We start from the raw sequence: 13,733 nt of genomic DNA, 5'->3' as shown, positions 1-13,733 counted from the left end.
AAGGCTGACATTATTTCTGTTTCTCAGATAAACTGAGGAGTAGAGAGCTGAATGTTACACAGCTATAAGGAGCAAACTAGGGTTCCAACTTACATCTTCTGATTCTAAGCCCTGACTCTTTAAATTATATAGAGTTGCTTCCATGTTAAAAAAGATAAAGGTTTATGTTGCATGTGGGGAACTCATAAACAGCCTGTACTTGGAAACTTCAGCTAAAGTGATTTTCTTCTAGATCCCTTCTCTTGGGGCTTTGCTGTTGGTAAAAGGCAAAGTTGTTTTAAACTGAAAAAATGGATCCCTACAAAATAGTTGATTTCTGGACCTTAATTTAATTCAGTGAGGATGAAGGATGAGAAACTCATGGTACTGGCCATAAGCATCTCATTCATTTCACATATGGCTAAGGCCTGAGTATCATCATCTTAGCCTACCCCTACCATTCTGTAAATATATTTCAACTCTGAACCTGAAGACTCTGGTTCCTCTAAGAGGGAAGGAACAATCTACTTCTCTCTGATCATGTAATCTTGGACATTTTGAAGATTCTCCATTTTCTTGCATCTATTTCTTTCTCAAACCCATTTGCAAACTACTCCTTTGAATAGAGACTAATGGTTAAGTGCAAGAGAATGGCAGTCCTAAGTATGGCTTTGTGCTTGGATTTTACTATTAACAGGGGTCATCATTGTTAAAGAGGAAATTCCAAAAAGGACGTGAGTGAGCTAGTTTTGTTTCAAATATCTCTATCAGCTATTAACTCAGAGGGCAGTTTTATAGAAAATAAATATAAAATACAAAGGTTAAATTCCCCATATCTTTTCTTTCTATTATGAAAGAGGATATATATTGGTGCCACATGGAGTGCCTTAACTTTACCACATGCATATTTTAAAAAGGCCTTTCAGTAATTTGAAGCAAGGTGGAATTGAGGAGAGAGGCACTGGTCTTTGGCCCTGTTGAGCAGATCCCATCTTGGCCCCACCCTGGCCAGCACTGTGTGACTCAGGCAAACTATACAACCTTGCTGAACTCACTTCCTCATCTGTAAAATGAGGTCTTTAGGGGAGCCAGTTATCGTGTTGACCCCTGTAAAGATGTCGTTTTGTGGACTGAATGAGGAAATGTAAAAAATCTCCTCAACCATAAGCGTAATATACACATGGGCTATATGAAATAATAATTAATAACTGCATCCTGCTCCAAATAGCCAGTTTTCAATGTATGATGTGGCCTTGAATTCAATGCATCCACTCTCAGTGAACAAGAAAATGGAAAATATTTAATGGGCAAGACATGCCGTGAGTGGCAAGGTACGCAGCATTCTGAATGCAGAGTGGCACCTAGACATTGTGACCTGCAGTTTTTAATCTTTGGTCTATGTCTCCTTCCCAGGTTCTCTTTCACAGTATTTTATTGAGAAAACTAGATAAATACTTGTCAGAAAGGAGAGCAAAACTAATCTTTCTAGCTTTATGTGTGAAACTGTTTTTTCCAGGCTTATCTTTTATCTTTACATGATCCAAGAAGTAAAGAGATGGAGATGGTGACACAGGCAGGGGCAAGGGATACTGTGAAAGGCTGATTTACACTCCAGGCCTTTGCTCATGCCTCTTGCTCTGACTGCAGTGCCCTCCCCACCTCCCCTCATGCCTGCAAGTTTCAGCTCAGGGATCCTCAGCTCCAGGTCTTCCTGTCGCCCACAGACTGGAATCACTGGCCTCTTCCTGCTCCCATAGCCCACCCTGGGATGTGAAAGGACTGCTATCGTGTCTCTATCCATCCCACCTCCCGATGTGAATTTCTCAAGGGGAGAAACAGCATCCACCCTCATGTCCTGGTGTGTGCCTAACAGAATGCTGGCACACCATAGATGTTTAATGGATGGCTGCTACTTTGTTGTGAGCACCTACAGGTTCTGTGCTTAGTGCTTTCCATGAATTGACCAATTTAACCCTTTCAAACATCCATAGAGGTATGTAAATTTATCTGCATTTCACAGATGAGGATACTAAGACATGAAGACATTAAAAGCTTGCTTTGCTTAAATGGCACAACCAGGATTTGAACTGGGCGTTTTGGCTCAAGTTCACACTCTTAAACTCTTTGCTCTAAGCTTTGTAGTAAATGTTTATGGTTGACTTGATGCTCAGAGACTTAAAAGAAACATACTGTGTGTCTGGTTCTACATAATGAAGAGAGTGGAGAAAGAGAAGGGTGCACAGCAGGATTCGAAAGGTGGTTAGGACCTGGACTTCTGTGAATGATTTGTGGACCTCTTTCTTCTGATGTGCTCATTAGCTATAGGACACAGCCAAGACAGTCTTCCAGAAATGCACAGGAGTGTAATTAATGTAATTGTTGAGTTATGCAGAAGGTGAAATGAGTTGTATTTTCAGCACTTGTACTTCCTCAGCTCCTTGCTGTCATCTTGGGTTTTTTACATTTTCCCTGCTACTGTCTTCTCCACCTTTCTTTCTGCAGTGTAACATGGTGGCAGAGGCAGAAAATGGTGGTTTTTCTCCTGAGCAAGAACTCAGGAGTCATAGTGCCAGGGTTTATGTTCTGACCCTTGTTCATTTATTGGGAAAATGTCTTTATTTCTCTGTACTATCAGATTCCTTATCCATCAAATGGAGTATTAATAATTCTGGGTTTTTAGAGTTACTGTGAGAATCAGGTGAGTTATTTCACTTTCAACAATACTTGTCACAGAGTAGGCATTGTATAAATATTAATTATCGTGACTTCCCCTGTTTCCAACCCACTAGGTATTCGATCAGAGCTAGTTTGGGTGGTGCAGTGTGATGCTTAGTTGTCCCATGTAGAGGGCCAGCAGTCATTTCTGAATTAGAAGCTTCCAGATCAAGTCTGACTTCTTTGAGTATCTCATCAAATTACATCTGGCAAGAAAAGACAATCTGGCCACGAGGTGCCATGTTTCTAGAATATTTAGAGAACATGAATTTTTAGTACAAAAATGCAGAAGATACAAATGGAAACCAATTAATTGAGGATTTAAAGTTTCAAGTGAGCCTAGGACAAAGTCACCATGAACTGATCACACATGAAAAACTGTAAGGAAAACTAAAACAAGCCAAAACTTGAGAAAGAAAAGGAAGGTTTTCAATGAAGGAAGACAACGGAGGCAAAGACAAACCAAATTGGATGTAATAATATTGATCACTTACATTTCTAAAGCTTGATAGTGTGTCAATAGCTTTCTCATATATACTGTCTTCCTCATACATTATTTGGTCTTCCCAAGAACTCACCAGGAGGAATTCTGGGCATGAACTATTAACCCTATTTTAAAGGTGAGGAAATTGAGGTACAAAGTACTCTAGTGATATAAAGTGCTCTAATGATTGCCCAAAATTATGCCGTCAAGAGGAAGAAAAACCTAGAATTCAAGCCCAGCTTTTCTGAATCTCATGTCCGGGGCTCTTTCTCCTCTGCAGGTGCCTTGAGATAGTTTAGGAGATCAGCTTGCTCTCCTAGATGAGAAAGTCTGGAGGGATCCTGCTCGGATAAACAAAGGTCTTATTCTAAAAAGAAAGCCACTTCAGTGGGAAGGTAGGCATCTTCAGAAATGGTAAAAGTTGTGAAATCTGAGAAGAAAGATTGACATATCATGCAAAAGATTTAAGACTTTAGGAGCGATGCAATTATTACCATTTTACCTCTCTATCTTTACTTTCCAAAATTTCCACAATAAAGCATATCATTTTTATATTTAGAAAAGATGATTAGGAAATAAAAAATGAAAAACTTTAGTTATATGAGAAATTAAAGGGAAAGCAGTAAAAGCCATCTTCATAAGAACAAGAAGTATATCTTTAATTTCTTAGAAATATAATTGGGAACTGGTAACTAACATACAATCACACACACGTGTGTGTGTGTGTGTGTGTGTGGTGTGTAATCTGGATTCTAGCATGAGTTAGGGAACACAAGACCAACATAAAATTGGAGAGGATTTTAAAACATTAATTAAGGAGAATATGATAAATAACCCCAGGTCTTCATGACAGATTCTAAAATGTCTTTAACAAAGAAGTGGCCAGTGCAGGGCCAAAGGCTGCCATTTGGGAAAATCACAGAGGACTGGAAAGATCTCTGAGAGCCAGTGTATAACCTTCTTTGAAAAAAGAGATGATGGCTAGAAATTACAAACTCATAAGCATAAATACTAGGTTGCAAAAAATATCAAACCTTTCAGTTACCTTAAAGAGACCAGGGCTAGGAACCCTCAAAATGACTTTTTAAAGAACAAATCCTATTAGATCTGGGGCTCTGTGAGGATTTCAGGCTTGGCAGGCTGCAGGAACTGATATATGTAATTAAGGAAAAGTAAGAAAAGTTTAAGATCTGGCTTATCCTGAGATTCTACTTTCTAAACAGGGAAAATGGGGTGGGTTAAATAGATGGTGGTCAAAATGGAGTGACGGCAGTGGCTGCCAGCTAGGGCAATGCCAAAGATGCTATGTGGTTCTCACCTGGGGGAGCTTGGACCCAACCTATATTAACATTCTCAACAAAGGTGGGAACAGTTAAGTATTGTGCCTGCTTCTCAGGTCTGAACAAAGAAGGCTGAGCTCCTGCTGAGGAATGAGGTGTTCTGCGAGTCAGCTTTGCACCGCTGCCGTCACAAACAGCCTGGCTTACAGCCTGTGAAGTCCATGCTGCCCTCCTTGACCCCCAAACCCGCTTCATCTTTGCTGCCTTCCCACTTCTACCCTGACCTTTATTCCACACATTGAAGCAGCAATTCCCAAAATGAATGTTCTGGATCCTCTTCCCTGAAAAATCTACTTTTGTGCCAATGCCTCAAATTCCACATGAAGTATTTATTAGGGGACTTAGCATCCCTGAAGCCCATCTATGAATGGCAGGTTAAGAGCCCTTGCTCTGGACTATGTGTCCAGGGCACACCCTGGCAAATATTCCTCTGGTTACTTGTCTCTAGAAGGTGAAGACTTTGGAGAACAGCTTTTCCTTGCAATCCTGACTTTTTTGTCTTTCAAGTTTAACCCACCGCATGGATTCATTTATAGGATGTTTATGAAGGTTTGTGGCCAAGGGCAGGGCCTCTTTGCTGTGGAATCAAATTTAATGCCTATCCTCCAAGAGCTCACACAAACCAGGAGCTGAGATTTGGGCAAAAATGTCTAGAGAAGAAGGCAGAATTGATGGTGTCTTTAAGGTGGCAGAAATCAAGTAATGTAGGAGCCCAGCTATCTGGCCCAGACACGGGTGAGCCAACGTGACCGCCCAGGGATAGGGGATGCAAGTACTTAGGAAGGGATGAATGTGATTCAGATAATATTGGAATAGAGGAATACTAGCTTTCTTTATAATTGTCTACTATGTTAGCCACCTCCCAGTCCACCCTAATGGACTCTGACTCTTGTCTAAGGCCCTGAGAACAAATTCTAGCCACAGCCAGAGATTAAGTCTCCATCAGGACCCCAGGGTGAAGATTTCTTAAAATTTCTCGTAAGGTTCTCCTCCCCTCTCAAAGTTGATATTCAGTGGATTCTCTCTTTACCTTTCCCACCATGGGAGATTTGTCTCTATTTTGTCCTGGGTGCCAAGCAGTGCCTTACAAGGACAGCTGAGTCCTGGCACCCTCAGGATCCTGGGCTGGTACTGCTGTGGCTTTTACACCAAGGCAAGCCTAGATCTTGAATATTCAACATCTAGAAGTAAAGATGGGAGCCCTAGTGCCACTCCCCAGAGAGGCAGCCCATGGGAGTCAAAAGCTGGGTCTTTGATGTCAAAGGGACTTGAGTTCAGAATCCTGGAATTGCCACCGAGTGACTTTGGGTAGGGCATTTCAACTTTTGACTGCCAGCTTTTCCTCTGCTGTAAAACGCAGGTTATGTGAAGGTTAGATGAGGTGAAGTATGTAAAGCGCCTGGAACTGAGCTCTCTGCCTCTCTTGTCCATATCCTGTGAGTAACGCTGCCGATTTCTCAGTACGGTAGGAAAAAGCAAAAGGGATGGTCCTTGCTGGCCTTCTCCATCTTCTTTTGTTTTTCTTACATAAATGCCTACCCCAGCCTGTGCCTCAACGACCCTCCACTACAGCTGTCATGCCGCGGAGAATTGCAGAAGCTGGGTGCGTTCATTTCTGCTGATGAGGGAGATGGAGTAAAGTGTATGAAACCGAGTGCCTAGGAGAGCCTCAGGAAATTGGGAGTGTTACAGAATAAGCCCAGAAATTAGGTGTGTCCAAGGGGGCGATCCAGAGAGACCTGGGGGCTGGGAGCCTCGGGTTATTAGAGAGAATGGCAGGAGCAAGGAAAGAGGGAAATTTTTTAAAAAGAGAGGGTGACACTGATGAAAAAGAAGAAAGTGCCATAGCCAGGACCTGAACTTCCATCAGCTTCTCTGCTTTTTCTCCACCTGTGTGTTAAGGAGGGAAAAACTAGGGAGGGAGAGAATAAAGGAAGAGGAAGGATGAGAAAAACAGGGTAAAAGGAAGAGGTGGCGGGTGAGGGGCTGAAAGGAGGTCTGCCTTCTCTGACAGCCAGGGGGAGACAGAGGGTCTGTCTAACTGCATTCCCCAGGGAGGGACAGTGCCTATCACCCTTCCTCCTTCCTTGCCTAGCGGACGACGAGGTGGCAGCAATTTTGGCACTCTTCTGGGGGAGAATCAGAAAGCGACAGCTGCTCTGCCCCCCTGGGAAGTTCTGTCTGGACTCCAGGGAGTTTTTGTGACTTCTTTGTGGAGGTCAGCCCGCCCGCCCGCCTGCCAGCCTCCAAGGCTTGCTTGGGTGTTACGGTCACTGTGATAATCCAGTCCTCTGCCGGGCAGATATTTGCTTGGTGTACATCTCTTTGTCTCACTCCTGCCTGTAAATGGTGGCAAACAGACATTTTGGAAAGGAATTAAGCATTGTGAGTTCACAGAATGTCAAGCATTCAAGTGGCAAATATAAATCAATTTCAAATTGTTTCTGGTTTTAGGTTATTTGTAGTACGGTGCCTACTTGTAGCATAGGCAATTCAGGGTTACTTTTATACAAAACGAATGCAATTTTCTAAAATCTGAATTGAATAACTGCAGGCTGGTGGATATATTGATCTTTGTGAAGCCCTTCTGTTTCCATGGGAGAAGGGATGGTATATATTTAAGGCATTGGGTCTTGATCTCACTTTGGTACTGGAATCAGGGGTGGGCATGAAGTAGATGTGGAGACAAGAAGAGCGTGAGCCTCCCTCTGCTCCCGCCTGGTTCCTCGGTGCAGTTGGGTTCAAGCCCAGATGCAGCTGGAAGAAGAAGCAGCTGCCAAGCAAAGCCATGCTCCCTGCCGCTCACTGTGTGGAAGAGCCAGCTTCGTGCACGTGTGTGTGTGTGTGTGTGTGTGTGTGTGTGTATGTATGAGAGAGACAGAATCTGAGAATACAAATGAAAAACCATTTCTTCACAGGGTATAAGAACTTTAGGGTATATTCATAAGGGCACTGATTCTGATTTCTGTCTTAGGGACCAGCATATTTGAAATGCTGCTCAGGTGGTTCTAATGTACAGCCAAGTCTGAGAATTGCTCTTCCAGACCCTCCCACCACCTCTCTCACACCCGTTCCTTTGTCTCATATGTGCCTGAGCCGTGCTGCCTGCAACCTCCACTCTAAGGGAGGAAGACAGCCTCTGACTTCTTGGGACTCCAGTGATTCTTGTCTGCCATTCCGCTGGACCTACGTTTCTAGAAGATGTGGTGGGTTGATTAAATAAATGCTCTCAACCCTCTAATTTTATGCACACAGCTCCTCATGCTGTGGAAATAACTACTCTTAGATTTTTCATTGTAAGTGGATTGCCCAGATTGCCCAGAGGGAAAGAACTTAGTCTAATTTTAATAAAACAAGTGTTTATTTAGTTATTCAGTTAAAATGGTCAACATTTTTGCACTTTGTTACATTTTCTCCTACATATTTCAAAATATACACTAAATTAACTTTTTTAATATGTTGGATTTATGGATTCTTGCACATTTCCATTGCAGATCAACCACTTACCGGCAAAAATGTGCCCTCCAATTCTTCCACATTGCCTCTTTGTCCAGGTGTCCAGCAGCATTTCTTCCCTATGGTATCTCTCTCACCCCTCCCATAAGATCTGGATCCTCTCTCCTTGTGACTTCAGGCTTTGCTTCCTCCACTTCACTTACATCACTGACCTTACCTCTCAGTGTGGAATTCTCTAATGCTTCCTTCTCCTGGGCTTAGAATTCCTTGTTGCTTCCCTTCCTTCCCTCCCCTGCCACTCTGTTTCCTCGAACTGGAATTCAGCTTCTCCAGTACTGACCCACCCACTTGCAGGCATATCTGCTTTTAGTGTTCTGTCACTCACACTACTAAGGGCAGATAAAAAAAAAAAAAGTCGTCAGAATCCTTTCTTCCAGAGCCCATCATCACGAATGACGGCATGACCAGCCTTTGTTCACAAGCACCCACCCCACTCTCAAAACATGGGCTCTCTGAGCATTCTCTCCTCCATAGTCCTGGTCTCAGTTGATGGTGTCATCACACTTTGCTGAGAAATCATCATTCTTTGATGTAAAGGTCCATAATCATTCTCTTTCCAGTATAAACACTCATGTCTATCTTTTGTTTGCTGGATGCTTCAGAGGGGACTTTGTTTTGTTCTTTACAGCTACAACTGCCTTTGTCCTGACCCAATCCGTCTCTTCATTACGGACTTTGCTGTCACACAATACTTCCTGTCTTCCCTGACATCAGGAAGTTCTGTTTTCTCTGCTTCTTCACTGCTGCTTTCAGTGTGGTCACCCTAAAACCTTTACTGATCCAAAACAAAATTCATTGTCTTCCCCCAGCCCCTCTCTCTGGGGTCCCTGTTTCTTAGGTAGTATGAGCCTTCTTTTAGTGCCTTAGGCCTGATGCTTTGGGGTCTCCTCCATGCCCCCAGTACCCTCTCCGCAGTCCCCCTGTGGTGTCTTCAAAGTGCTTTTGCATATGAATCCTCTTGCCACAAAAAGGCAGTAGAGCCTTTTGGTAAAAAAACATGGGCCTTGGAGTCAAACTGCCTGAAGCTGCCACGTTTTAGTGGTGGAAACTTTGAAAAATTACATCACTCCTGAGTCTTGGTTTCCTTATTTGGGAATAATGGAGAATAATAGTAATACAGTGATTAAAAATATAGTTTTGAGAATTAAATACATTAATACCTATAGAGGACTTAGAACAGTACCTGGCATATTATAAATGTCTAATAAATATCAATATTACCTCTAACCCATGGGTCTCTACTGGGGGCTGTTTTTCCTCTCAAAGGACATTTGCCAATGTCTGCAGACAGTTTTCATTGTCATGAGTGGGGAGCAGGGGTAGAGGCCTGGGATGCTGCTCAGCATCCTAGGATGCATGAGACAGCCCTTGAAAATGAAGAATGAGGCATCGCAAAATGTCAGCATTGCTGAGGCTGAAAAGCTCGGCTCCACTTATGCCACCATTTTCTCAAGCCTCAATCAAGCGTCCATTCTGTTTTTTCTCCGTCCTCCACTCCCTTGAATGCTCATTTTCTCACCTGGTTTCAGTTACAAACTGGTTTTGATCATTCTGCAATCTACAGTTCCATCATCCTGAATAATAATATCTCCAGTGGTGGATAGAAAAATCTCTCCTGGCATGTTCTCCCAATATTGGAAATGGTGAAGACCAAAAAAAAAAAAAAAAGAAAAAGAAAAAAAGAAAGAAACCCACTGTTCCTCTCCCTTCTCCCTTCATTCAATCAGCATCTCTTCGCCAACACATTTCTATGGTTGCCAGTGGCACACTGTCCTGGCACCAGTTTCCACTGGCCCCCTCTCCAAAATCCCCCACTTCCACTCCATGCCAATGTCAGCCGGTTCTCCCTCCGCATGGTTTCCTTGGATCCTCATTTTCCATTTCCATGGCTACTGCTTAGTGCAGGACTCTAGCTGGCATCCCCCGCCTGGACCTCGCCTCCTCTCCTCCACCCTCCACACAGCTGCTGGAATTGTCTTCATTAAACACTGTTTTCTCTACTCACCAATCCACGGTGGCTCTCCATTACTGCTTATTAGCAAAAGGAAATTCCCCAGGAAGCCCTCTGCAGCCTGACCTCCCTCTCCCTGCGGGCCCCACCCTGGCGGCTGCCTGCCTTTGTGTTACTCCCTCCCAGTCTCTGGGCGTTCACCTATTGGAACTCCTCCCTGTCTGTCTCTACACCTTAGAGTGTTATAATTCCCCTTCCTGGAAAGCCTCCTTCTCTCCTTTTGCCAAACTCTGTCTGTCACCTCCTTTAAAATCTGGCTCAATTTTGAACTCCCCTAAGAAACTTTCCTGAATAACCCACCAGATTCTCTGTGTCCTATTACTCCGTCTCTCATTTTGGTCACAAGTATTTATTAGACTTGGCCTACATTAATTTACACTTGCTGATGTGTATGAAGAATCCCTTAGTATTTTTAGAGAATATCCAAATGTGTATGTTTCTTTCCCCCTCCACCCCCTTTTTTTTTCTTTTAAGCTAATTCCCGCGGTCCAAATCAAGTGCTCTGGATAGAGGAGGACTTCAATAAATGACGTCTCTATAACGTCTTTTTTCCCCTCTCTCAAAGCCAAGGCGGGACTTCAAGGGCATATTTTATGGGTGACTTTAAAATAACCTTCTCGTCTTTTTGTGGTTGTATTGGTAGTGGGTGGGAAGAAGAGGAGGAGGATGAGGAGTAGGAGAAGGAGAAAGAGGAGAAGGAGAACATGGAGGAGGAAGAGTGGAGGGAGGAGGAGGAAGCAAATCTGGGCTTGCCAAACACAGGCAACAAAATGCCTCCGTCAGAGGTTGCCCACGGGATGAGACATGTGGTATGAGAAAAAGGTACCAGTGCCATGTCCTGGGCATCTGCTAATGAGAACCTCCCTAGGGAAAAAGGAGACAGAAACATATTGTGTACTAACCTATGGGGGTACACCCAGCTTTTGTTTAGCATTTGGCAGCAAGCTGGACACTTTTAAGTATATTTTAAATCTATGACCTCATTTGGCAAATGAGATAGATGATGATGTTCCATTATGCAGCTGAGGAAGTGAAGGCTAGGGCAGCTCATGTGACTTGCTCCTGGGCATCAGGACTGTGCTGGCGTTTGGACTCAGTTCTTGTGAATTCCGGGGTCCCATGCTTTCCATTGAACCCTGTTGCCTTATCTTACTCTGTAAGGTAAAGCTTTAGTCCACTTCAGTGCCATTATTTTTACAGATTGTGTTGCCATTATTAGTCCACTATTAGTAAAACTCAGCCTAGAATTAATCCTAATTAGTGCTCTTTTCACTTTATCACAAACACTACATTTTATTCCTAATCCAAGGTGCAAATAGACCTCTTCCCAAGAGACTTGAGACCAGCGCTGTCCAATAAAACTTTCTACCGTGACGGAAATGTTGTCTAACTTTACTGTCCAATGTGATAGCCACTAGCCACCTGTGACTAGTGAGAATGGAGAATTTCAGTTAATTTAAGTGCCAACAGTCATATGCAGCCTGTGGTTTCCTCCTTGGACATGTCAGCTCCAGATTCGTTATGTCCTTATATTTGTCAGGGTTAGTAATTTGCCTAATCTGGGTTTTCACATCTCCCTTCCCTTTTCATCCTCTGGGAGGTTACAGTAAACCACGAAGATTCAGAATGTGGGAGCTCACCCAAGATGGGCCTCCGCAGAGCCTGCATCGTCATCAAGGGAGGCAAGAGAGATGAGGGAGCCGACTGCTGTGCTGGGGAGTCGGCACTGGGTGGGAGGCATTTGTGGAGGAGAAACCGCCAGCTCCTGGGTGGGTCTCTTCCCTTCTAGTAGCCTTATAGGAGCTCAGCACTCGTTCCTGTGTGGTTCTCGCCTCTTCCCACAGGAGACAGGTCATGGGAGGAAGCTGAACTGCTTCTCAGAGATTGGGGTGGAGGGGGCTCTAATATATTATAGCATTAGCCTTCTCCATCTGGCCCAGTGGAAGGTTACCAATGAGATGAAGATGAGTTCATTGGGTGCTTCTGTCTTTAATTTCCACGGAGAGATACCTCAGTAGTGCTTTATGGTAGAAGCCTCTCTTTGCAGTCCTCTCTCTCTCTGTCTCAAGCTTGTGTGTGTACCCATACACATGTATATGGTATACACACCAAATGCCCTAAGTACCTTTCTTCCCATATCCTGCATTACATCAAAAATACTAGTTACTATATTTACTGAGGCCGACCTCCCAGGAGAGGCTCCCAATGGCAGACTTGTTGCAGCTGAGCCGAGTCCAGTGGAAGCAACAGAAAATGACAGATCCCCAAGAGAACAGCTAATGGAAGCAATAGGTTGATGGTATGGCATGGTGTGGCCTGACCCTGTCTTTGCTGGTTTCTTTCTCTTTTCTTGTTCACTATTCTGCTCCACTTGAATTTTAATCTAATTTATTTTTTATGCCTATAAGAAAATAACCTGAACTCTCTTTAACCTGTGGGACATACAGCATTGGAATTCTCGCCCTAGATAAATTGAGTCTGTTTATACACAGAAATTAAGGGTAGAGGACGAAAAAGAACTTTCCTTAGAAATTCAGAGTCTTTAATTGCAGGACTAGAGGGAGGATCTGAACTCTGACTCTCTTGAGTCTAGAGAAATCGTGGAAGAAGTTAACCTCAGAGTTAACTGTTTAAGGGACATGGATGCTATTCATCCACGTAAAAATGTTCCGTCGTGCGCTTCATTGCCGTGAATATGTTTACAGGGAAATGGAAGTTTTGTTCTGTGGCTCACGGGCTTACTGGTGAGTCCCCAGAAGACCCTCCAGGTATGCTCGTGATGATGCGGCTCGTTGCTGGGCAGACAGATGTGAGCCCACACAGGGCACCCAGAGTCCATACGGAACGAACAGTTGGAGGAAACGACTTGGAGAAAAAGGCGCTTGTTTTCACACAGAGGCTTATAGAACAGAATGAGGGTAGGAGAATTCAGGGCAGCTGTGACAGAGAGAAAGAGTTACTGCCCTGATAAGAGATTTTTGCAAAATTTTCTCTGAGGAATGTAGATTTTAAGAACATAACTCAAATTGCCACGAGTTGTCATTTAAATCAGAGATCTAATCATATCTGCCTCCTCGGAAGCCTTTAATGGCTCATTATTGCGTGCAGAATGAAGTCCTTGTTTTCCTCCGCAGCGTGCCTGGGCGTCCGTGGTTCATCTCTCACGGCCTTTGTCGCCTCCTGCCCACTGCATTGCTTCCTCCTCTTTCTGCTCCAGCTCATTCGTGCACTTAGTGCACACTTGACACACTTAGTGCCCTTGACACATTTCTTTGGCTTTGCTCAGGCCGTTCCTGCCTTTGGTCAGACATATCCCCTACTCCATCCCAGCACTGTCAAAGTTCTGCAAGTAAGTTCTTCAAGGTGTCGCTGCAACCTCACCTCCTCTAGGAAGCCTTCCCATATCCTTCAAACAGGGGACGCATTTTTCTCTCCTGCATTCTTACGTATCACTCTGTATTCGCAACAGCCCTTGTCACCCTTGTCTTATTTGCAAGTTATTAATATACGCGTCTGGTGCCACCATGCAGCTGGGGCCCCCTGGAGAGCCAGGCTGCATCTTCTTGATCTTCACACTGCACGTACTCTAGAAAAGTGCATTGCATACAGCAGGCACATTAAATGGGATGGCTCTTTGTGTCTTAATTGAAACCACTGGCTGCTTACCTTTATCTCTTCATTTGCCTTT

General features: G+C 43.9%; 1 protein-coding gene across 5 annotated transcripts in view; it reads left to right on the top strand.

The window, feature by feature from the left end:
• GRIN2B (glutamate ionotropic receptor NMDA type subunit 2B) overlaps positions 1–13,733 on the top strand; it is a 444,798-nt gene that overhangs the window by 12,663 nt on the left and 418,402 nt on the right. The gene's annotated exons all lie outside the window — the stretch shown is intronic.

The sequence above is a fragment of the Homo sapiens genome, chromosome 12, assembly GCF_000001405.40.
Source record: "Homo sapiens chromosome 12, GRCh38.p14 Primary Assembly".
Lineage (NCBI taxonomy): Eukaryota > Metazoa > Chordata > Mammalia > Primates > Hominidae > Homo > Homo sapiens.
This window is presented reverse-complemented; position numbering and strand designations above follow the sequence as displayed.